This window comes from Homo sapiens, chromosome 3 (assembly GCF_000001405.40).
Source record: "Homo sapiens chromosome 3, GRCh38.p14 Primary Assembly".
Taxonomy (NCBI): domain Eukaryota; kingdom Metazoa; phylum Chordata; class Mammalia; order Primates; family Hominidae; genus Homo; species Homo sapiens.
The window spans coordinates 66,773,053-66,799,668 of NC_000003.12; the positions used below are offsets into that span (position 1 = coordinate 66,773,053).

The 26,616-nt window shown below is 41.2% G+C and overlaps 1 long non-coding RNA gene across 1 annotated transcript in view, besides 1 other annotated feature; it reads right to left on the reverse strand.

The window, feature by feature from the left end:
• Positions 1-7,024: 7,024 nt before the first annotated feature.
• The window catches only part of LOC105377144 (uncharacterized), a 192,342-nt gene continuing 172,750 nt past the window's right edge, over positions 7,025-26,616 (reverse strand). Inside the window, exons 3-4 of the long non-coding RNA XR_940939.2 lie at positions 7,785-8,093; positions 7,025-7,631 (exon numbers count right to left, since the gene is read on the reverse strand). This is a non-coding gene — a long non-coding RNA (uncharacterized LOC105377144). The remainder of the gene's footprint in view (positions 7,632-7,784; positions 8,094-26,616) is intronic.
• Positions 25,229-25,779: an enhancer, noted in NCBI's record as "OCT4-NANOG-H3K27ac-H3K4me1 hESC enhancer chr3:66848705-66849255 (GRCh37/hg19 assembly coordinates)". NCBI's record gives its function as "activates a minimal SCP1, AML or CMV promoter by ChIP-STARR-seq in naive H9 embryonic stem cells {active_cell/tissue: H9 hESC(naive)}" and the evidence as "EXISTENCE:reporter gene assay evidence [ECO:0000049][PMID:30033119]".

The window sequence follows — 26,616 nt, forward strand, 5'->3', positions numbered from 1 at the left end:
CAGGCTATCTCTGCATTTTAGTTTAAAAATACAGTATCTGAGAATGAATTTACAGGGTAAAAATTCCTAGCATGTGTCAACAAAGGGGAGATGCACTGTTATTTCTCGGTTCTAAATTCTGTGACTCTGTGATGGTTTCCTACTCCACTCAGGGTAAAAGCTAAAGTCCTTACAGGGAGTTCAAGCTCAATACTCCTGACCTTGTGCATTCTGACCTCATCGATGGATTCCCGCCCCTGTACCCCCGCTTATCCTTGCTGTTTCTTGACCATACCAGGGATGTGCTTGCCTCAGAGCCTTTGCTTTAGCAGTTCCCTCTGCCCCCAGATATCCACATGGCCCACTCCTTCATCTCTAACAGCTCACTTTTCAATGAGGCCTTCCCTGACTCTGTTTAACACTGCCACCTGCCTTTCCAGTCCTCCCAGCACTCCTGACTGCCCTACTGTGGTGTGCTTACTTTTTTCCAAAGCACTTAGAAATATAATGTAACTTAATTATTTTTATGTTGTTGTTTTTCTCCATTATGCCAGAATGTAAACTCCATAGAAGAAGCAATTTTTGTCTGCTGTGTTCACTGATAAATCCCACATGCCTAGAACAGTGTCATTGTGCAGGGTACACAGAAGGGTCTCAACAAATATATGGTAGGTCTTCCCTTAACATCACTGATAATAGGTTCTTAGGAAATGACTTGATATAATTTTATCATAGGCCAATTGATAAACAAGAATTAAGTTTCTACAGCTTATTTCTGGTCGCAAAAACATCACCAGATTTATAAATAAAGACCAAGACACCTCTGATATTAAACATTGAAATAAATGTGAGTTATACATACATTTAGGAAAGATTCATAAAAACAAGTAAGATAATGATTTACCCACTTATTCCAATTGAGGGTCTTGGGTGGCCAGAGCCCATCCTGACAGCTCAGAGCAAATGACAGGAACCCACTCTGGACAGGCTGCCTTCCCATCATGGGGCACACTCACACACCCATAGTCACACACCCACATTCACTCACACTGGGACTATGTAGATATACCACTTAAGCTAACATGCACAGGTTTGGGAGGAAACTGGAGGGCTCGGATAAAACCCACACAGACCCCACACAGTGGCCCTGGCTGGGATGTGATATTTTCTCATTGACATCCTAGCTAAATGACATTGAACGGAATGACATTCGAGGATTTGGTGTGTGCATATATGTATGTGTATGTAAATACACAGATATGTGTGTATATTTACATACATGTAAGTGTATATTTACATATGTACAAATATATGTGAATATATTCACATAAATATTCACATAAATATATGTGACTATGTATATATATATGTGCATATAGATTTATGTGTATAAATATAAATATATTTAAAATAATTCAGTTTCTTCAAGCTAGGTCTTTTACCTTAAAGAAACCTCTTCAGTGGTAGGAAAATTCAGAACCCTGGAGATTTTAAGGGCAGAGTTGTGTGGTTCAGATTGGGGCTAGCCTGGCTAAAAAAGAGAAAGAAAAAGAAAAGCCTTCTGCATTTGTTAAGAGGATAATGTGTCAAGAACACATAGTAAATACTGTTCTTAATAATGGAATTGGCATTAGGGGCACCCACTGAAGACCCAGTCCATTTTAGGGATAGTGTGGATTATGGTAGTTCATCTTGGGAGCGTGTATTGGGATATAAGCAACAGAAAACTCAACTCACACTAGTCTTTAGAAATAAAAAGATTTAACCACTGGCCCATTTAATCTGTAGGTATTTACCCAAGAGCAATAAAAACACATGTCCACAAAAGACTTGTACAAGAATCTTCATAGCAGTTTTCTTCATAAAAGGCAAAAACTGGAAACATCCCAGGTATCTATCAGTAGAAGAACAGCTGAACTGTAGTCTCCTCATAAATGGAATACTTCTCAGCAACAAAGAGGAATAAGTTACATGTAACAGAATGAATGTATCTAAAAACTACTATGCTAAGAGAAACCTTACACAAAAAATACATACTATGTGATTCCACACATATGAAATTTTAGAACAGACAAAACTATGGAAAAATATCAGAAAAGTAGTTGCCTCTGGAGGTTTGGGATGGGGGATGATCAAGAGGAAACGTTCCAAGGTGATGGTAATGTTCTGTATCTTTGTAGGGGTTTGGGTTACATAGATGTACACATTTGTCAAAACGTAGCAACTTGTAGGCCAGGTGTAGTGGCTCATGCCTGTAATCTAAGCACTTTGGGAAGCCACGGTGGGAGGACTGCTTGAGCCCAGGAGTTCAAGACCAGTTTGGGCACTAGACCCTGTCTCTACAAAAAAAAGTTTAAAAAATTAGCCAAGCATGGGCCGGGCATGGTGGCTCACACCTTTAATCCCAGCACTTTGGGAGCCCGAGGCAGGCAGAGCACGAGGTCAGGAGATCGAGACCATCTTGGCTAACACAGTGAAACCCCGTCTCTACTAAAAATACAAAAAATTAGCCAGGCGTGGTGGTGGGCACCTGTAGTCCCAGCTACTCGGGAGGCTGAGGTAGGAGAATGGCGTGAACCTGGGAGGCAGAACTGGCAGTGAGCCGAGATTGCGCCACTGCATTCCAGCCTGGGCGACAGAGCAAGACTCCGTCTCAAAAAAAAAAGAAAAAAAAAATTAGCCAACCATGATGGTGCACACCTGTAATCTCAGCTACTCAGGAGGCTGAGGCAGGAGGATCACTTGAGCCTGGGAGGCTAATGATGCAGTGAGCTGTGATCACGCCACTGCACTCCAGCCTGGGCAACAGAGACACTGACTCAAAAACAAAAACAAGAACATTAGCAAATTGCAACTAAGTTTTGTGCATTTCGTGGCATATAAATTTTACTTCAAAAGATAAAATTATAAATAAATATTGATCTCCACTGAATCATATGGATGCTAAAGTATTTAGTTAGTGATGTGGATGCTGTAGTATTCCTGTCAGACACACCGTCTGAAGCACAATAGCATATAGCATAATAATTTTCAGATGCATCCACGCTGTTACATGGAGCTCATTCCTTTTTATTGCTGAGAAGGGTTCCATTTTATATATGGTAAACTGTATGCAATTTACTTTGAAATGTATCAAAAATAAGTTGGATTGATGGATTGAGAGAAGGATGGACATGTGGACAGATATATGATCATGAAAGTATGGCAAAATATAAAAGATAGCCTCTAAGTATTCACTGAAAACGTCTTTAGACTGCTGTACGTTGAAACGATTCATAATATAATACTGAAAAAAAGATAAAGTAAAATTACTTGCTCTTGTAACCAAGAAGCTGAGAGGATAACCAGGCTGCTGGCAGGAATGAAAACCACACCCTTTTCACAGAGCTATAGGTGCCCCCAGCAAGCCCCAATTTCTCCCAACAATATTAACAAGCTCACCACTGCGACAGCCTGAAGAACCATCAGGACTAATTGCATCCTATCCCGTATCTCAGTTTCTGTCAGACACACCATATGAAGCTGACTAACTGCAGAAAAGCTCTCACCATGCGGGTCCTGCCCACCCCTCCCCTACACGTAAACTCTTCTGCGCCCCTGGAACTCATGCTGCATTCTCAGCAAAGCCCCCGCATCTTCCACCTCTTCCCTGAATGTCCTTTCACCTTCTTGCTCCAACTGAAAACTGACTCTCCCTTAAGGATGCCACTTCCTGGGCAACCCTCTCGAATGTGGCTTGTTTTTTCACAGCTGCTGGACCTGGAGGGCACAGATATCCTCCTTGCTTGTTGCCTCTTCCTGGTCATTCTTCTCTCCCCAAGCTTTGCAGCTCATGCCATCACACCAGACCATTTTCCCCCAAGAGGAGTAGCCTAGATAACTAGTTAATACCTTCCTCTCTTGCTAACATGCATCCCATGCTTGTCACTGTTGGCTGAAGACTGTGAGTCCAGTTTGACTGAGAAAATATCTACTCACCTATCTTTTTGCTCTGTGCTATTACTTTTGTGCTGTTACTATGGATAAACCATTCCCGTTCTTTTCTAGGATGGATTTTTCCACTTTGTACTGAATCCCACGTACTCTCATCATTCACAAACATTGCTCAAGAAATTGCTCCCTGTCTATTGCTCCCCCTCCCCACACTTGGCTCTCTCTATCCCCCTTTGTGTTATTTTCCTATATTACATTTACCAACGCCTTGTACATTATTTATTTACTACCAGCTTTTCCACAAGGGGCATTTACCTGGAGTTAACCTGGGATTTCAGGAGGTCTTTGGCTAGGAAAATAATCGTATCATTATTTTGACTATCTTCTAACTGAAATTGAGCATTTCCTTTAATTATGAGAAGAGATGGAAAACCCCATGACTTAGCAGTGTCTGTGACTTGTTATCAACAAGAAGTTACAGATGTGTTTCCTGATAGGAATTGTCACATTACAGTTGTTGACAATACCTTGAAATATAATTTGTGCTGATTGCTTTGAAATTGTGGTAGTCATTAGGCACATGCAGGTAGATGGCGTGTGACTGCAGCTTTCCTTTTTAGAGATCCTCACGAGGTGCAGCTGGCAGATTAGAGAGCGGCTCTATGCCTGGTTGTCATTCAGTCACCAAATCGTGTTGGTGACCCAGACACCTCATTGCTTTTTAATATTTCCTACTTACAATGTTTATCAATACATTGAAGGAATGAGTTGTTTCTATTGTTTGTTTAAACTGAAGTAAGACTGGGCATTCAAATGAGAATTCTTAATTCTCTATAAGGGCACATGGCATTTTACAACAAGGATAGGTGTGCAGGCTAAGAATAAAAACCAGACACATTCAAATACATTTGATGGTTGAAATAATTACTGAAGTATGCTCTTTAAAATAACATTGCTAACACACTGCACAGTAACACCGGTCAAGCACAGTGTGGCAAGTTACTGAATTTGAATATAATTTGTTTTCTGTGAATTCTACATATTTTATTTTACACATGTGAAAATATTGTTTTAAGAAAGGATCTATAGACTTTATGAAACTGCCATGGGAGTCCATGGCGCAAGAAGAGGTTAAAATCCCGTACTAAAACGCAAGCTCCAAGACTTTTTCTCTTATGTTCTTTGCAATTGCTCATCTCTTCTGCTCAAGAGTCTACCACGTGGTGGGATTTGATTAATTTCAAGAATAACCTAAGGCCAGATAGGACTTGGTTATTTACATCCTCTCCTCACCCTGGCATTCAGCTCCTCACTTTCCCTGAGGGCCACCTTTCCTTTATTCACCATAGGTGGCATATTCATTAAAGGAATTGCATCCCTTCGAATGACTGAAGATAACATTCCGGAAAATCCTGCCAACAGGTAAGGGCTTTTCTAGACACAATGCCAAACCTTCAATACGTCCCTGTTAGGAGGAAACAGCATTAAAAAGCAAAAACCCCAAACTGAAACATTCTAACAAGAAACAAACCTGACAATAACAACTCATGCTTTGGAGACTTCCATGTTGTTTTTATACCCCCCCTCCCCCAATGAAAGAAACATCACATTGCATTCTGAATTGACATTTTCGCCGTTTAAAGAACACTGAGACAAACTACCTTCTCAGAACAGATCTCAAGACTTCCAAAATGACGAATTTTTCTCTACTGAAAAGTCCACCCTTCTGGCACCAGAGGAAGGCTGGAAAACCTCTGGCACCAGAGGAAGGCTCTTAGGGCGCCCCTTGCTCTACTAGTTGGATTTTAAAAAATGTGACTACTTCCTCTATTGAGAGAAAAAGTCATAGAAAAAAACATAGTTTTATACAGTGTGGTTCATTTCAAGAATTGCAACCAAAATAAATGAATTAACATGCTGCAGCAAGTCTTAAGTGGTGACCACACCACTACTCCAGCTATGTGTAGGCTTTCTAATGTACATGTCATCTTCCCAACCTCTAGAAAAGGCACAATAAGCACTTCCAAACAGACCAAAAGGACCCAGTAATGGCAGTACTCTTTTTCTTTCTTTTTGAGTCACAGTTTCACTCTATCGTCCAGACTGGAGTGCAGTGGTATGATCTTGGCTCACTGCTGCAACCTCTGCCTCCCGGGTTCAAGCGATTCTCCTGCCTCAGCCTCCTGAGTAGCTTACAGGTGCTTGCCACCACGCCTGGCTAATTTTTGTATTTTTAGTAGAGACAGGGTTTTACCATGTTGGCCAGGCTGGTCTCAAACTCCTGACTTCAAGTGATCTGCCTGCCTCGGCCTCCCAAAGTGCTGGGATTACAGGCGTGAGCCACTATGCCCAGCTGGCAGTACCTAGTTCCTTATGATGGGAAAAAATGATGGGAAAGGGGCTTTTCTAAAGAAAATCACATTAAACCTGATAAATATCTGATTAATAGTGTCCTGATATCTGATTAATAAATTCCCTAGGGTCTATTTTTTAAAATACCTATATTTTCTTATAAACATTTCAAGAAAAGAGAACTAACATCTACTGATTTTGTATTACTTCCAGGTGGAGGGCTTGTTGCCTGACAAATATCCCATTTGAATTTTCCCAACAACCCAATGAAGGGTTGCAATATTAGGGAGGGTCAAGCTTAGAGGGGTTAGGTGATCTCCCCAAAGTCACATCCTTTCCATCATAATATGCAGCTCGTGAGCTCATGGAATTTCCCCAATTTTAGCATTTCATACCATCTTTATGATTCTATTATTTGCTCAATATTATTCTTTAAATTGGCTGACTTAAAAGATGAAATAAATTTATTCAAAAAGCAAACTTTGCATTGTTGCTAGTAATGAAGAAATAATACCACTTGCCATGGATTGAAGGTAATTGGAAATGTAAATACAATGAAAAGAGGAACATGTCAGCACATTTTGGCCAAATGTGGTTGTCAGTAAATATCTGGGGCCCAAGGCTGACTCTCTGCTTAAACTGGAAGCTTGCAAGGATTGGAGGTATAATAAAGCCATAATTAGTACCAAAAAGAGAGGTTGTCTTTGGATAGTCAGAAGGATTGAGAGAGAAGTGAAAAGAAAAGAACTCCCCAACCATGTAATTCAATGTTATTTAATTCCATGACCCAGAACCACCTAAAATCATCTCCTGAACCACTGGTGGTACTTGTCTCATGCTTGGGAAAACATGATACAACGTACTGTATTGTAGATAGCTTTGACAGATGTTGTTGGCAGATTCCTTTGGCCTATGCAGGATGTCATCTGAAGTTTTTGTACCATTCCCTTGCATGCAGCTGGCTTCTGAACTCTTGAGGTCTTTCTGTGGCCCATAAGAGCCTGCGTGGCTAACATGACGGAGGGCCAGGCCTGAAGTGGAGAGTTAAATCCCCAAGAACAGCCATCACATCATGAGTTGGTGGATAAATACCCTGCTTCCTTATGCTTTGTTGGGCCGATTGTAAGGATTGTTCTATGTAGTCTCTCAAAGAGTCTTCTGCAAAAATGAGACCCCGATGCCCACAGCAGCAACCTGCTCATTCACATTTTCTATATTACCTTTCCTCATTTCCTAGTCTCATTCTCTGACTTCTTCATTGTCTTGCCTGGGATTTCCTCCCCAGATGAATTGCTTTCACCTGAACCCTTTCCTAAGGGTTTGCTTTTAGAGAATACAACCAAAGAGCATATCTTCCGGTTTTGTATCTAAAAATGAAAAAAACAAAGAAAGAAATAACATAAAACAAAGCTATCTACTTGCTATTGTTTCCAGATAATCACATCCAATCCTGTACTACTCTTATTCTTAAAATGGTAAGGTGAATCCAGATGTAGAAGCAGCCAGGGAGAAGGACTAACCTCTTAGAAACTTTCCAATAATGAAGACTTTGTAGACTCTTAGTGCAAGCCCCCATAGTCATCTTTGATGATTCAACCTTTCTTCTCATTCCGGAAAATCAAAAATTGATGTTTAATATGGCCTAGTAGCCACAGTGGATATGCTGAGATCTTCTTTTCATTCTGGTCTTTAGACAATTTGGGGGGTAGTTTGATTACATCTTATCTTTCTTATGTAGATTGAACTGGTTGTTGAGTGGATTTTCTGATGATAAATTTCAAAGAAACTCCTCTGCCAGGAAAGGGAGAATAACCGATTGTTCATTTTACCTAAAATGGGAGAGCTTTCGTGACAATGTGTAGACTTGACTTCAGAGTAAAATATGAACAGAATTTCATACATACCTTTAGAATATTGTCTGCAGAAGTTATATAACAAGTGTATTACTAGATCCACAAATAAGACCACAAGCCATATGAGCTCACGGAAGCTTATGACTCCCATTAAGCTTTTTAAAAAAGTATGTCAGCAGAAAAGCATAATGATATATGGACTGCTCACTTACCCACAGCAAAACTTGATGAAATCGTAACATTTTGACATAGCACCCCTTTTCCTTTTAAAGAAACAAAACATCACAAATATGCTTGAAACTCTCTTTTACTTCCTTCATTCCTATTCCCTTTCTTTCCCAGATGGACTTCGTTTTTCTCCTGGATTTTATTTTTGTCATTCTTAAGGATGTTTTAATACTTTTACTACACAGATGGTATCACAGACTATAGTATTGCTTTGAATGTCTTTAAACTTTATAGAAGTGGATTATTCTGTTTACATCAGTCTGCAACTTGATTTTTGACTCGATATTATAGAGACTTACCCATGTTTATATGTAGAATTTAGCTCCCTTATTTTAACTGCTATAAAACATTCCATTGTATGAACAAACCAAAATTTATTTTTCCATTCTCCAGCCGATGAACATTTAGATTGTTTCCAGTGTTTTCTTATAATAAAAAATGCCTCTACAAAATATTCTTGAACATGATGCTTTGTGCATATATGCAGAAATTTCTTGTAAGGTACATGCTTAGAAGTAGAAATGCTAGGTATATACCGTGTGCTGCTTCAACTTTATTAGAGACTGCCCAGTTGCTCTGTAAAGAACTATTTATAATCCATCAACATATTTGAAATTTCTCTTTCTCCCACATTCTTGCCTACATTTGGTGTGGACAGACTAAAATTTTTTGCCAACCTGAGGGCTCTGAATAGTATTTTATCTTTGTTTCAATTTGCATTTTCCTAATTCCTAGTGATGAAAAGGGATTATTTATATATCTTGGATGATAATTATTTGTGGGTTTCATATACATTGCAAATATTTCCTCCTAGTCAGTGAGCTTCTTTGCATCTTATTTTTGGTGTCCTTGGAGGAGTGGAAGTTCTGAATTTTAGTGTAGTCAATTTAATCAACCTATTTATAGTTAGTGCATTTTGTGTATTATTTAGGAAATCCTTCCATATCCCGAAGGCATTCATACATCCTTCTACATAATATCCTGAAAATTTTATAGTTTTACCTACAGTTAGGTCTAAAATCCACCTGGAATTAGAATGGAGAACTTGTATTTAATTTTTTTCCTTACGGATACCCAAATGTCCCAACACTGTTTATTGAAAAGATTGTCATTCCCCACTGCTCCGTATGGCCACATTTATCATAAATCAAGTGTGCATATGTCCAAGGGGATATCTCCAGATTCTCAAGTCTGTTTTGTTGGTCTATCTATCTGTGTCTTAATTACACAATGTTTTTATTACTTTAGCTCTATAATCTTATTATTTGCCAGTGCAAATACCTCCTTCCCTGCCTTGACTTTACATAGCGGTTTCCTCATCCACATGAACTTTAGGATAAGCTTGGTTTGTTCTATGAAAAGTCCCTATTAAAACGGTACTTAAAATTTTTGAATTTATAAATTAATTTGGGGATAATATACATTTTGATGACATTGAGGCATCCTATCCATAAATATTTCTTCATTTATTTCAGTATTCTTTTAAGCATTTCAACAACAGTTTATCATTGCTTTTATATGGGTGTCATGTTTCTCAAGTTCTGTCCAAAGGGAGGAGAAATAGACCCCACCTCTTGATGGCAAGTGGCAGGCTTCTGGAAAATTATGTGGCTCCGGAAATACTTTTGTTGCTATTCTTGGAAAATACACTTTGCTATTGTCTATCCTCTGGCCACAATAATTTATGTCCTTGTCATATGCAAAAGAAAACCCCCACCTTCTTCCCTAGAATCTGCAAAGCTCAGGCTCACAGTCTAAGATCTTGCCATTAAGATCACGTTCACGTGCAACTGAAGCTCCTTAAGCTTGGCTCCTCAAAGAGAGCGTCTGGAGATAGTTCCTGCTTATCTTAAGATTTGTCACCTCAAGAAACAATTTGCAGCCAGGCGTGGTGGCTCATGCCTGTGATCCCAGCATTTTGGGAGGCTGAGGTGGGTGGATCACCTGAGGTCAGGAGTTCGACCTCAGGAGTTGGTCAGGAGTCTGGCCAACGTGGTGAAACCCTGTCTCTACTAAAAATAAAAAATAAAAAAATTAGCTGGGCGTGATGGCGGGCACCTGTAATCCCAGCTACTTGGGAGCCTGAGGCAGGAGAATCACTTGCACCTGGGAGGCGGAGGTTGCAGTGAGCCGAGATCTCGCCACTGCACTCCAGCCTGGGGGACAAGAGTGAAACTCTACCTCAAAAAAAGAAACAATTTGCTTTCTCCCTAGAGATGCAACATGTAATGGTGAAACAGGCATAGGGTAACTACCACCCAGCCTCCTCTTCAAAAACAGGAGGCACTCAGGAATCTGTAACCATTTTGAAATCCAGCAGGGTTCCCGTTGCCAGTTCCTTGGTGAGGGTGCAGTCCTACTGCCTGGATATAATTCACTGTGGCTCTGCGTTATGCCCTCCATATCCTCTTTCCTTTTCAATAAAAAGTGGCCCATTTTGCAGTTGAATAGTTTTCTCAGTCAGCTTCCTGCATGTAAAATGTTGATTAAATCATCTTTCCATGTAAGCTGATATAATTCTTTTAAAAACCCTGTGGGTTTCTTATGAATTGATTTCTGATACACTCCATCAGACAAAAGCTACATCCACAAATCTCGCCAAGATTTTCCACCTTGGGCTTGCTATAAAGCTGCAGAAGGACAGTGCTCCTTAAATTCTTAAGAGTTCTAGTAGTTAACAGAGAGAATCTAGAAGCACTTCTTGAAGATCTTTAGAGGTCCCTTGGTCTCAACAAAACAGTTCTTGAGGCAGTGTCCTAGGTATTTCTGAGGTTTTAACAAATAATATTATGGGCATAGTCTTTAATCTTTGCTCTGAAGCCCTCTCTTAATTTCAGAATATTAGAGAGGATGGGATTAAAAAAGAGTTTTATTTTTGAACACTGCAAGTCCTGGCTCCTAAATTTTCTCTAAATTTTACTTGAAGAGTAAATAATTCCTTTTTAAAAAGGTCATCTTTTTCCTCTTGTATTTATTACAGACAATGTGAAGAAGCCAAGAGGCACTTTTAGTATTCTGCCTGAAACTTCTTTAGCTAGATCATCTGATTAATTAGGAATGTCTTCGATTTTCTAAATTATTGTGGGAACAATGTTGCTAAACTTTCTCTCACTACTAACAAGGATTTCCTTTCTCCCAGTTTCCAATAACATTTTCCTCACTTTTAATTAAGCCCTAATTAACAGCTTCATCAAGGGTTATGAGGCTTCCTCTAATAGCCTCTTTAAGATCCTTTAGACTTTCACTAACATTCTCCTTAGAGTCCTTTTCTGCCCACTACTTGGTCCCAAAGCCACTCTCACATGGTTTTTTATTGCCACCACATCTTATTTGACACAAAAAATACGACACAAAAAATATGGTTACAGCTATGGCTGTAAAGCAATTACTCCAGAAAACGTGGCATAAATAATCATTTATTTTACTCATGAATCTATAACATAGATAGGTCTTGGTAGAGATAGCTTCTGTCTACTCCATTGGCCTTGGCTGGGGTAGCTTGAAGGCTGTGGGCTGGAACCACTTGATGTCTCACTCACTTCCATGTCTGCTGGTTGATGATGGCTATTCCTGAGACCTCAGCTAGGGTTGCTGAATGAAACATCTATATGTGGTCTATTCATGTGGCCTTGGCGTCTTTACAAAATGGTGGGTGAGTTCCAAGAGCCAATTTCCCAAAAAAAGAGAGCATCAGAAGGAAGCCATATCACCTTTTATGACCTAGTTTTGTAAGTCCACAGCATTATTTATACTACATTCTATTTGCTGAGATAGTTGCAAGTCTTTCCCAAGGGGAGGGAAAACAGACTCCACCTGTTAATGGCAAGTGGCAATTTCCAGAAGATCATGTGGGACTGGAAATATTGGTATGGCCATTTTTGGAAAGACGTTTGTTATAGTTACTATTTTACACAGTGTTGTCAGACAGGCTTCTCCAAAGGTGGCATCTGAATACCCATAAAAGTGAGGGAGTGAGTCACATTGTATTCGGGAAAGAGTGGTGAAAACAAGTGCAAAGGCCCTGGGGCAGATTATAATGGATGTGTTTGAACTCGTTTGGCTGGAGTCAAGAAGACAAGAGAGAGAATAGCAGTAGTGGTTAAGTACAGAGAAGTAGCCAGGGGCTTATCATCGAGCGTCTTGTAAGCCATTGTAAAGACTATAGTTTTTATTCCAAGCCATGAGGGAGGGTGGTTAAGAGAAAAGAAATTTTATTGGACTTATATCTTAAAATGATCACTTACTGAGGCACAATGCCCAGGAGTTTATAGTGTAGTTGCTATCACTGTGAAGATCAACCACATGGAGATAAATCGGAATGGTGTTTATTGCTACACACCCAGAGTACTCAATTATATTTGAGCCAAGGGATGAGTGATAAACCTTGGGCTCTTGTAAATGTCTTTCTAGAATCTGTATTTGGTTTAAAGTTGCATTTGTACTTTTTAGGCATTCTTAATAATGTTTAGCACTGTCTCCAAGCAAGCATTCTCTGCTTTTGAAAAAACTTTTCTATGTGTGGGATGGCAATTGTGATGGATTGTTCCCTTTTAACCCCCAGGCTCTACTCTCCTTCCATATCCTGCTATGTGCCCCAGGAACTATTTCTATATGCTAGTTCCATAACCTCCTGGACCTCTGGCTTTCAGGTAGGTGGCCAATGGAAAGTTCCAGCAGATAAAACAGAGGGAGGAGAGTAAGATCAGGGTACTCATTCCCCTGGTCCCCTCTTTTCACAACTATCTCATGACAGAAGGTCAAAGCAGCCTGTTCTACATGACTCTAAGTTCCAGTAGCCTCTGTGTCCCCATTAGGCCTATGGGTGATGACAACTTCACTAGTGCGAGTCCCCAATTTATGCACTATCCCCTGTGGTTCCCTACACTCATACCACTGTAAACAGACTCTTTGCAAATAAAACCTCCTCCTCAATCTCATTTTGCATGTGCCATCTGCCCCTGTTGGGACCCTGAGCCAGTACAGTGATACTGAATCTTTAAAAACTTAAACCAGGGTATTCACGCATTTAATTTTGGTCTACTTGCCTTTTCTAGTTGTCCTCTTCCCTTCCCCTCCAGTCTTATGACCTGTGAGGGTGTAAGAATATGTATAAAGAGACATACACAGGATTTCAGGAGGTAATTTATCCAGGAGTACAACTCTCCAACCTGGGATATAAAATAAACGAATAGAGTAAACCTAGAGGTGCCTATTTGGGCATTAAAATCCATGTGAAACTGGCACACAGATTTGCCTTATATTAGTGGGAGAAGATTATCTGCTAACATCTTTACTCCCTATTTCCCCACAAAACCATTGAAAGTGTATCATCACCTATCAACATTTTATAAAGAAATCTGAGCAGAGGGCTAAAAGAAGCGAACCTTACTTATATCTGATGACGAAACTCTAAAGATGTACAAAAGCTCTGGAAGTGGGGTGGGGGTTGGGGAACAAGCTTAGAGTCCAAAGCCTTGCAAATAAACATTCTGAATCTCCTGCAATCCAGTTTAACATCAGCAGATTGCTCTCACTTGGTTCTTGGGCCTTTATATTTTTCTTTTGGTTAGCTAATTCCCCACCTACCACCTCCATCTTTCTTTTTCTTTTTTCAGAACAGAGCAGTATAGAGAAGATCTAATGGTCAAGTTTTTAAGCACATGGCACATTTCTACTTTTTATAAAAAGAATATTATTGTACAGTTTCTCTTGCCTGAAAAACGCACTTGGACAAAGCCCAGCACTGGTCTCAGCAAGTCCTTACTCAACAATTATTGAAGGAAGGGCTACACTTTCCTATTAGAGGCCAATTTAACATCTGGCTTAAAATGGCATTTGGCTTACAGGCTCTGAGGCAACCTCTTCTCATTCCCCAAGAAAAGACCTGTGAAGACTGAGGAAAATGTAAAGACTTAAACAATAGAAAGTCTAATGGGACTAATTCCCTGGAAGGAGTTGGACCAAGAAAAATCTATGCAAAATTTCTCCCATGGCAACCTTAAGCTTGGTGCTGCCTGAGTCAGTCAGGATAAAGATGGGGATGGAGAGCTGCTGAAAGCATATGCTAGTCTTACTGTAATAGTTAGGAGCACCATTCCCATGCTCTGGCTATGTAACAAATTAGCCCAAAACCTAGTGGTTTCGAGCAATGGTAATCATTTATTATCTCTCAAAATTTTTGTGGATCAGGAATTCGAACAGGGCACAGTAAGTTCAGCTTGTGTCTGCTCACTGGTGTCTACAGCCTCAGGGGAAAGACTCAAAACCTAGAGCCTGGAATAATCTAAAAGCCCATTTACTCACGTTTCTGGTGGTTGATGCTGGCTCTTGATTGGAAGCCTTATTGGGGCTGTCAGCCAGAACAAACCATGTAGGGCCTTTCCATGTGGCATGAGCTTCCTTACAACATGGTGGCTGGATTCTAAGGGGAAGTGTTTCAAGAAAGAAGGAGAGCTGGGCCGAAATTATATTGCCTTTTATAATCTGTCCTTGGAAGTCACACAGCATCACTTCCTTCAGTTTCTCTTGGTCAAGACACTTAGCAGAGTCTACCCAGGTTCAAAGAGAGGAAACATAGACCCCCCTGCCGGATGAAGGGGTATCACAATACATTGTAAAATGTCATGTGGGATGAGATATCTATTTTGATGCTGCCATCTTTGGAAAAGACAACATGACAAGATAGGGCCTCCCAGGGTGAGATGGCTTGGGTTGGAACTCTTGCTGTGCTACTTGCTAACCTTGGGCGAGTATGACCTTGGGCTAGTAAATGACTTGAACTCCCTGGACCTCAATTTCCTCATAGTATTGATGTGAAGATTCAGTGAGTTACATATCAAGCAATTAGAATAGTACTTAGCACATGTTAACTGCCTAAAAAGTCAGGTTTTATTACATAATGTAGCTGGGGGATGCTCTGTCCTCACCACCCACTTCCATCTTTTCCTTTCTCTAGCAGGAAGGAAGGGTCTTTTAGCATAACAAGTTAGGTTAGTGAGAGATGACTGATACTGCAATAAGAGGCAGGGGTTTATTAGTCTCATACCTTTTCTCATCCAAAGAATCTGAAACCCTTAGCCTGGTCCTGGTCCCTTGGAGGCAACTGCTGACTACAGGGAAAATATGGTCTGCTGCAGATAAGGGCTCCCAAATTAGAGGATCTAGATTAGAATTTATGTTCTAAGTCTCTGGTAGTAGCAGTTTGAAGGATAGAAGATGAAGCTGAGAAGCTATGGAGAGGTGAACAGAGGAAGAGAAGGGTAACAGAAAGAAGGAAGACCTCTCAATACATCTGTGAACCTGGCCGGGAGCGGTTGCTCATGCCTGTAATCTAACACTTTGGGGGGCCGAGGTGGGTGGATCACCTGAGGTCAGGAGTTCGAGACCAGCCTGGCCAACATGGTGAAACCCCATCTCTACTAAAAATACAAAAATCAGCCGGGTGTGTGGCATGCGCCTGTAATGCCAGCTACTTGGGAGGCTGAGGCAGGAGAATCAGCTTGAACCCAGGAGGTGGAGGTTTCAGTGAGCTGAGACTGCACCACTGCACTCCAGCCTAGGCGACAGAGTGAGACGCCGTCTCAAAATAAAATAAAATAAAATAAAATAAAATAAAATAAAATAAAATAAAATAAAAATCTGTCACCTGATTTTGTCTGGCATAAAAGGCAACATAGTAGGACTCTGTGTTCATTATAGCCTACTAATGAGATTTTTTTTTTAAATAGACCTAATGGTTGTACTTGCCTGCTTTCTAAACATAATGGGCATAGGGAAGTTGCCTCTCTTCTTACCTGTCCAGAAAAAAATGCACCAAAATAGTAATACTGGCTTTTCTGGGTAAGATTAAAAGTGATTTTTGTCTTTGTTTTTTTTTTTTAAACTTTCCCAAATCTTCTATCATTTCATAATTCAAAAAAATGTTAGGGAAAACAATGACCTCCTGATCCACAGCAGCTGTGCCTCCACATCAATAACGCTTCTGAATATCAATTACCAACATGCTCTCGCCAGCATTTCAATGGGAAGAAATGAACTGAACCAACCCTGTAGGTTGCTTGCTTTCTTCAAGAGAAAGGAAAGTTTGCAGAATTGCTCATGAACTGGAATCTGCAGAACCACCGCGATGGGGTGACTTACAGAGTGGGGAAGAGGTCTGCTCATGGCCCAGATTAGAGTGACCCTACTGAAATGGCTGCCTCAAAAACCCAAGGCCCACCATGTCCACCTATTGAAATTAACTAAAGAATTCAATGAGTTTCCCAGTGACCCAGCTCCCTGTGAGTTGAACATGGTTTCTGCTATTTCATTTGAAACTACCATAGCTCACAGAGCTGGAGGAGGGTTGCATGACAGATTGCAGAGCCCAGCCCAGCCACACCCCCACCTCTCCTCTCTGTTGCTAACTGCACACACAGAGGTCCTTAGGGAGGGGGAAATGCAATAAGAAAACACCTGTGATTTCCTTGCAGAACTCCCCCATGGCTACAATCCACCCTTTCCTCTCTTATAAAAGATTCCATTTGCTCCATTTCTGACCCCAGGGCATGGACAAATGGATGGTGGCCTGGTGTGGCTTCTCTGCTCTTGGCTGTGTTCCCCCGCACCAATTAATCACCATACCCCAATGTGACAGGCCCAGCTCTTTGCGGCAGCTCATCCTCCGGCTGTTCCAGTGATTACTCTAAAGCCTTCCCCAGATGCAAGAATTTCTCAATGTTTTTTTCTTCACTATTGCTCCATGTGCTGGCTACTGCACCGAAAGGGGCTGTGGTTCTCCCCCACATTGCTGACTGGTCAGTAAGGAACCCCGAGGACCTAATTTGAGTTCAGGCCCTGTCACCCACTAGTTTTGCCATCTTGGACATGTCAATTGAGATTTCCCTAAGCTTCCTCATCTTTGGAGAGAGGATAATAGTAACTACTTGGCCATCTTCGAGAAGTAATTGTAATAATCTGATGAGGGATTTTAAATCATTTTTTAAAAATCCCTTCTTGGAATTGTGTTTTTAAAAAAATAAAATATATGGGACTGCCAACAAAACCAATTGTATTAAAATACAATTTTCAAAGTATTAAATCAATTAATATAAAAATAAATTTATGTTAGTGCATTAAATAACAAGATTTAGCAGTGGGTCTAAAAACCACAGTGTTTTCAAGCTAGTGATGAGCCTAAATGATACTTTGAGATATCTACAATAGTAGTGATGTAATATGAAAGTATCTGATTTCATTTGGTGACAAAGTCACAGGTACTGCCGGGACTGTGACTTGTTACTTACATTCATAATTTTAAAAAATGCTAAGTTTTAGTTAGAGTTTAGTGGAAAAAAAATTTATCATCCAAGTTTAGTCTCCCTAAAATTGATTCACATATTCCTGTGGGTCCACAGACTCCAGGAATCAAGAAACTCTAATAAAAATGAGATAATGTATGTGAAAATGCTTTGTAAACTCTGTGGTTTGATGAATTTGAAAGATAGAGAAAGATTCTCAAATAAGCCATCTGGTTCAAGTTTCTTTGTATCTTTAGATTCCTCCTATGTCAGTTTCCTTGAGAAATTTTTGGGAGTTGTTAGGTTTCGGCAAGAACCATCCTTACAACACAGGTCATTAATATCCACTTGAGGTCTGAAGAATCAGGTCTCAGAGTTAGCCCATCATTTTCCCTATCCTCAGGTAAAGCAAGCACGTCTCTAGCTGTGGTTCCTAACTCACCACATTAGGATGACCTAGGTGGGTGAGAGGGTGGACAGAGTGCATGTTGAACATGGGGTTCCTTAGGTTCTCCCCCAGTCCTAGGGAATCAAAGGTGGGCCCAGTGACTTTCTTTTGTCTGTCTTTCTTCTATTCCAGATACATTCTGGATTATTCTAACACACACTCAAGTCTGAAAACTTCTTGATAATGGAAAATTGCTTCTAGTATTATCATTCTTGTGTGCAGAAGCAGAGCTTTTGTCTGCGCAGCCCAGAGGGTGGGCATATAATTTTCTGGAAATTTCATAGCTTGATTATTACCTGAGCCCACATCAAATAAACCAGAATCCGTGCTCCCATGGGGACCCGTAATCTTTTAATCAAACATCTATCCCAGTTAGGAGAGTTGGAAAATAAGCATCTCCACTCAAGGCGGAATCCCAGTTCTATTATCAGCTTGGTACCACAGGGACCCTTCCAAGAGTCACACATAAGTAAGCAAACCACCAAGAGCCTGTGCCCTGCATGCCACCACAGAGATACCTTCTGGAGTGTCAGAAGAGTGACACCAAAAACCTGAGCTATGCCAGATGTTGAGGGTTAGTGGGGGAGATCAACGGGACCAAAGGTGGGGGGGAGGTAGAGAAGCCTTACTTCATTTTGGAGAGCCTTCCCCAAACATGAAGATCCCAATTCAGGGATCTGTGACACACCAGGCAATCAGTGCTTCCAGATGTTTTCTGGTCTCAAAGGCAGGGCAGATGAAAAGAAGAGAAGAACATTGGAGATAGTGCCACTTCTGAGGAGAAGCTCCCTGGTTCATCCTGCGAAAGTATTTCTTTCTCTACTCAAGAGCTTGAAGGGGGCGGGTTGTGGGGGGCAGCGAGAAAAGACTTTTCTCCTTCCAGAGAAAAATGGAGACAGAGCAGGCATAAATGATTTCCATCATGGGGAACTGATGATTTGAGAAGATATTTGCCCTATGCAGATAATGTCAGAGGAAGTCAAAGGTATAGGGTTGTTAGAGAGGGACACAACCAGGTACTAGGAAGTATTTTTTTCAAATGCCCATTTCTTAAAGATTTCAGCAGGCTTCTGGGAATGTCTGGCACCTTCTCCATATAGCAAAACCAAGAGCATTTTGAGGGGATTGTTCTGGAACCCTTTCAAAGCTCCTGTTGTTGCAGACATTTGCAGATGTCTCCTCCATCTGCCAGGGATTTTGAACACTGGGGACTGTAGCACCATGTGCTAGGAGCATGGATCCCTGTGAGCAGAGTCTAAGAGTTTGGTGTCTGATGTGCACCAAACACCACTTCCACTTTCCCCACCCCAGTGGCCCCTGTCTTTCCACTTCTAGACTGTTCTGCTCTGCAGAGAGAGTCTAGGTGACTTTTTTGCTGGGAGAGAGGTCTCAATTTCTCCCTTTAAAAAAAACCACACAAGTTACTCTCATTTCCCTGGTTCCTTTGGAAGAAAATGTGCTGAACACTTGGTTCTCGCAAGTGGCCTCCTGCCTGCTTTTTGCACATTTAAGGGAGAAACAGAGCTTAAATCAGGAGGCAGCAAACTTTGGCCTGTGGGCCAAATCCTACTGCTACCTATTTTAGTAAATAAAGTTTTATTAGAACATAGCCATACCCATTAATTTACTTGTTGACCCTAGCTACTTTTTAGCTACAAAGGCAGAGTTGAGTAGCTGCAACAGGGATTGTATGGAATACAAAGGTGAAAGCATTTTCTATTCGGCCCCTTATGGAAAAAGTTTTCTAACTCCCTGCTTAAATAAAGGAGACAGAGCAGCTAAATAAATGGATCAAAGCTGCTGAAACATGGGTCAGAGCAGCTGAAAAATAGGAACTTCAAAAATTAAAGGAGGACAACTAGATTTCTGATCCTGAGAGCAAAAAAGCAAGAGAAATGGCTGGTTTGCAATACATGAAGGAATACATACTGGGTACTTTTCATGTGCCTGACTACTGTGCCAAGCACTTTACATACATTCTCTCTTTTAAATTCTACAAGTGAGGTATATTACTGTCATCATTTTACAGCTGTGAAAACTGAGGCCTGGAGATGTTGAGTCACTTGCTCTGGTCATCCAGCTGATAAGTGGTAGGGTGAGAATTGGAACACAGGGGTGACTTTAGAGCCCAAAGTCTTGACCATGAGGCTATCCTGTTGACAGGCTCCATGTCATAGGAAACACGGAATGGCTGCTTTTTCAACTGCTCAAATCAGTGACACCCAAAGTCTTAGCATGGGCTGCAGCTACAGCAGGATCCCCAGAAACTGGGATTCCTTAAGTCTTTGGGAGGCCCCTGAAGTTGCACTGAAAATGTTCTGGTGCGAGGTGGGGAGGGGAAGACTTCACTGCCCAGTCATAATTGCTTCCCTTGGCCTCATTACTAGGTTTTAAGAGGAGGAAAACCTAATATTGCCAGTCACATTGCTGCTTGCTATTTTGAAAATGTGGTAGGGGATAAGGTTGAAACATCCAACATTTAACCCTGAAACTGGCATACTAAATAACACTTTTTCACGTTTCTGCATGGTCTTTCATCCAAAACTCTCAGACGACTTCACAAGCAGTTACTATTTACTATTATATTACTCCCTTGGGAACTATAATGGAGTGTGGCTGCTTCGAGACTTGAAGAGTCCCTTTAAATTGTATAATTTTCTCCTGGCTCTTTCTGGCTAACGCATGCACTTCACTAATATTTGAAAGAAAAAATGTTGTGAACCTATTTTTTGTTTGTTTGTTTAGATTGGCGTTTGCCTAAATTAGTATTTCACGCACAGCCTGGGTTCAAAAGACTATTGTTTATGCTACTGGGCATAGTTAAAAGAAAGAAAAAATACCCTCCAGGGCAAACTAAAAGCTAAATAGCACTCGATCCACAATCTCCGTGTAAGGACTGATGAGTGCCAAAACACAAGATCCACATTCAGTGTCAGCAGTAGGGGTGGTGGTTGCATGCTCAGCTTTTCATTTTCATGGGGAAGGTGGACATCTTCAGGTCCCATGAACCAAGAATTACATGTAAGTATAATCATTAAATGAGCACCAACTCTGTATGAGGAGCTGTATCGGTGGCCTCTAAAGGGTTAAGTGTGAAGACTAAAACTTCTGATTTGTACTTATTTTTAATCTCATCTTGTTAAATTATGCTTGGTTAAATTATTCTTTATAATGTACATATCATGTTCAATAATGCATGACTAAGATATAATAAGCAGATATTCAACAATATTTAAATGCAGGGGTGTGTAGATAAAACTCACCCTTTTTTGTTTTTTTGAGACAGGTTCTCACTCTGTCACCCAGGCTAGGGTGCAGTGGTACGATCTTGGCTTGCTGCAACCTCTGCCTCCCGGGCTCAAGCAATCCTTCCACATCGGCCTCCTGAGTAGCTAGGACTACAGGCATGTGCCACCATGCCTGGCACATTTTTGTATTTTTTATAGAGATGGGGTCTCACCATGTTGCCCAGGCTGGTCGCGAACTCCTGAGCTCAAGGAATTCACCCGACTCGGCCTCCCAAAGTGCTGGGATTACAGACATGAACCACCGCACCAGGCCAAAACTAACTCTTTTACATGTCTTATCTCAGCATTTAAGCAGCACTAGACCCTCAAGAGTGGCAAACTGGATGCCTGGGTGGACCACCCACTCTGGTTAAGTGTCACCATGTGAAAATGAGGACCCAGTTTGTCCTAATCTTTAGGTTTTTTCAAGAGAAGCTGAAAGTTAATTTTTATGTGAAATCTTGTGATGTATGTGTGAAATCTCACTATATTTAAATACGGGAAACTTTGAAAGGCAAAACTGTGCTGGCCAAAAAACTCTACATCTGTGGGCCAGATTTGGCCCATGGACCGCTAGCTTTCAGTCTCTACGCTGGATGTTATATCAAGATTTCTGTGGTTAAATAGATTTGCAAAATGCAACAGAATGGGATCTTTCTTCAATATTCTTGATGAAGATCAATACATTAAATGCTCGGAGAAGTCGTGTCAGAATGGAAACTATTTAGCTTGATTTAAATGACTGCTCCCCCAAATCACCAGTCTGTGTGTGCTCCTCACATTACAATAACCTGTAGAAGTGTGGTTGCTAAGTACACTGGGGAAAGCTGCATAAGTCCATTTGATCCTGCACCAGAAACTGTGAAAGGCAGGTACTGCTGTTATTATTCCCATTTTATGTGTGAAAACAACTGAGGGTCTGCAAGGTTAAGAAAATTGCTCAGGCTCATATAGCCAGATGGGGGACAGGTGCTTCACTGACTTTAAAACTGAAATGGTTTCTACTACATTTCATGACTAGGTCCGCACCACCCCCACACCAAAAAAAAAGTGGATTTTGCTTTTTCTATGACTGGTACAATAACAATTTTAGGATTCAGGATGTTTATGGTAGGATTGTTTTTTAAAAACCCCATGCTCTGTTGAAATATATCAAACGGCACTGGTTTCATCAGCCACATAGGCACAGAGGTCTCATTTTATAACCATGAGCTCGGATGAACAACATCTCCCCTGGGGAGGCATTGTGGGTTCTCTCCCGATGCCCTGCCCTGCCCTGGGTAATCTGAGGCTCCTGGGCCCTTTTGGGACCTTCCCCCAATCCTTCCCTCCCTCCCTGCACTGCATCACCTTTCTCCCCCACCAACACCCAACCCCAGCCCTGGTTTAGCTAGGCTTTGGCCATCTCCCTTTGTTGCCTCCACAGTGGGAGGGAACTGGAACAGGACAGGTCAGGGCTCCAGCCGTATGGGGAGGAGGTTTAGGGGACCTCGTGTGGAGACAAGACCCTGGAAACAGGCTTGGGGGGCTGGGGTGGGGTCAGGGTGAGAAGCAGTGAGAGAGGCCTGAAATGCGGCCTGGCCCCTCTCATACCATTTGGGCACCTGACGCAGAATGAGGGCTGCCATTTGGACAGGCTTGAGCCAAACCCCATTCCTGGGAGTGAGGCATCCCTGCTGTGTCTGAAAGACCCCACAGAGGATCTTTCATCCCCAAAAGGGAATTCACTGCTTTCTTGGCAATCACTTCCAGGCTTAACTAACTACCCTTAACAGGAGAAAGTTCATTCTCAGCTGCAACAGAAACTCTTCCTGCTTTGTTTTTCTTCAGTACCTCTCCAGAGACCCAGGAGGGATGGGTGTCTCTGCCCTCCATATTTTAACCTCTGATGAAATGGAGTGCAACAGAGCAGAGTAACTAAGAGCATTACACAGAGCTAAGTTTGACTCTCAGAGCATTCACAGGCTGTGTGACCTTGGGCAAGTTATGTAGCATCTCTGAACCTCAATTTCCTCATCTGTAAAATGGGGTGAAACACAGAATGTCTAAGAGAAACAGAAGCATACATCCATATAAAAACTTGCACATAAGTATTCATAGCAGCGTTATTTGTAATAGCCCCAAAGTGGAAACAACTCAAATATCTATTAAGTGATGAGTGGATAAACAAAATGTGGTATGTCCATACAATGACTACTATGCAGCTATCAAAAAGAATGAAGTACTGATACATGTTCCAACATAGATGAATTTTGGAAACATGCTCAGTGAAAGAAGTCAGATGCAAAGGATGACATATTGTGTAATTCTGTTTATATAAAATGCCCAGAACAGGCAAATCTATAGATAGGAAACAGATCAGAGTTGTCTAGGGTTGTAGGGAGGGGGAAACGGGGAAATGACTGCTAATGCATATGGGATTTCCTTTTGGGTGATGAAATGTTCTAACATTGACTATGGTGATGACTACAAACTCTGTGATATACTTCAATATATTCACTGAATATAATCCACTGAATTGTATATTTTAAATTGGTGAATTGTATGGTATGTGAATTATATCTCAATAAAACTATATTTTTTTAAAGGGATACAAAACCCATAGTACCTACATCATAGAGGCTATTGTGAAAATTCAATAATATAATGCCTCGAAAGTGTCTAGCATAGCATCTGACAAGCAATCGATGTTATCTTCAACAACAATATTAGTAATAATAAAAATATGTAGTTATATCTTATAGTATCATATAAAACAATAATTATATGATACACAATATTCCGTGTAACTATATGTTAAGTCTATATTATCATAAAATAATTATAAAAATAATATTTTTTTTCACCCTCTGTCTCTTCCTCCTCTTAAAACTTTGATTCTGGGTTGATCCTCCAATTTTTTTTAACATTATCAAAATTACTTTTGAACATTTTGAATGTTATATATATTACCTAATATATACAACGTATCTATCATAGTATATTATATATTATGTATAGACACATTATGTATAATGTGTCTATACATAATATAGACAGGACCCGATCCCCACAGCTTGAGACAATCAATGTGGTGTTCAGAAACAGAACTAAAAGGGCATATTTTCCTGGAGACACGTTGGCTCAACGTGAAATTCCCCTGTAGCCTCAGTTTCCCTCAAGGCCTGCTAACCAGAGACCTGAAGGTGGATTACTATCCAATTTTACTTGCTATTGGCTGGACAAATCTCCCTGTTCATTTGTTGTATCAATAAATTAGGGTGGAATGTTAGACACATTATGTGTCTATACATAAATATATAATACTATGATAACTGTGATATATCTTTATGGGATTATTACTATACATTGTCATATGTAATAATATATATTACGTGCCATATAATACATTCAGTTGTATAATATACAATTATTATGAAATATGATAGTAGTAGTAGTGTTCACCCTATGACTGGTCTTTCTTTTAACCTTTCTGAATTTGGAATGGTTTCTCCAATTCTTTGAACCTTTGCTGGCCCCTGATATATTTGGAAAGAAAATTGCTCTGAATTTGGAGAAATTAAATTACAGTAATGACTCTAATTCAACTGCCTCGTGTAGCTCAGGCTGGAAGATAGAAAAAATATCCCAGGCCGCTCCTACGGCTGCTCCTGGGAGCCCTGTGAGGGGGCCAGGAGGAGGTGGGGGACACGCCGCTGAGGGTCCCGGCGACACGCCAGGGGGCCCCCCGATGCGGATAAAGGGCTGTTTCTTCCCAGCCTCTTTGGAATGCCCGGCTGCCTTTTGAAAGGGGATCCCCAGGACTCCGGTCCAGATCTGGGGTTTCTCCCTCCTTGCTGTTGATCGGGAGCGCTGCCGCAGGTGTCCCATTTTCATTAAAATGCACATCAGAGCGCCTACTGGAGCTGGTAACAAAGACAACATTGAAACCGGGTGTCCGCCTTCCGCGGCCAAGCAGGGGGCAGGACAATGATTTCCCCAGGATGTGTTCGCTGCCTGGCTTCCCCACAGAGCGCTCCGTCAGGACTCAGTCATGGGTGAATGCCGGGCTTCTGAGAAACTCCAGCTGAGCGGAGTTGTTGCAACTTCAGAACTGTTTCTCCAAGTGAGGGAGGAGGCCTTCTGGAAGGAGGCAATCAACAGTTTCCCGATCCCCACAGCTTGAGACAGTCAGTGTGGTTTTCAGAAACAGAACTAAAAGGGCATATTTTCCTGGAGACACGTTGGCTGGATCTGAAATTCCCCTGTAGCCTCAGTTTCCCTCAAGGCCTGCTACCCAGAAACCTGAAGGTGGATTACTATCCAATTTCATTTGCTATTGGCTGGACAAATCTCCCTGTTCATTTGTTGTATCAATAAATTAGGGTGGAAAAAAAGGAAATAGTCTTACTTTGCAGATATCTTTGGGGTGCTTGGAGGTTGTACCTGATATGGTAAAAACTTTCTTATAATGAAATTTATGTACGTGTGTGTTTGGGGGGAAAAGGAATATATTTATGAAAGTTTTTTTTTTTTTTTTTTTCAGAGAGACTGCTAGAAATAGTCATTTAGAGGGGAAAAAATTCAAATTACACAATATCAAAGCTGTATTGTGCAGCTACAGTGAAGGCCATGGGTAGCCCACGCTACTTTCTCTACGTGGGCCAGGAAAGCAATGACCCAACGCTGTCCCAGGACTCAGGGCTGATGAGTGGAGGAAAGGCTGGACTTCTGGACTTGTTTTTTTCTGTGCCCCCTTGGCAGGGCATTCTTTTTTTTTTTTTTTTTTTGAGACAGAGTCTCACTCTGTTACCCAGGCTGGGGTGCAGTGGTGCCATCTCGGCTCATTGCAACCTCTGCCTCCCGGGTTCAGGTGATTCTTCTGCCTCAGCCTCCCAAGTAGCTGGGATTACAATCATATGCGACCACGCCTGGCTAATTTTTGTATTTTTAGTAGAGATAGGGTTTCACCATGTTGGCCAGGCTGGTCTTGAACTCCTGACCTCAAGTGCTCTGCCTGCCTCGGCCTCCCAAAGTGCTGGGAATACAGGTGTGAGCTACCATGCTTGCAAAGTATGGTTTGCCCAACCATTCATGGTAGCTCCGGGTGTAAGGTTCACCTCCTCCTCTCCACTGATTTTGGAAACTGAGGCTTAGAGATATTAAGTGACTTTTTCCAAGGTCACACAGCCAGATAGCCACAAAGCTTTACCATTGTCATCATCCACGGAGGCTGGTTCCAAAGATGGTGGCTTCTTCGGTGTGAAGTTTGGGGACTA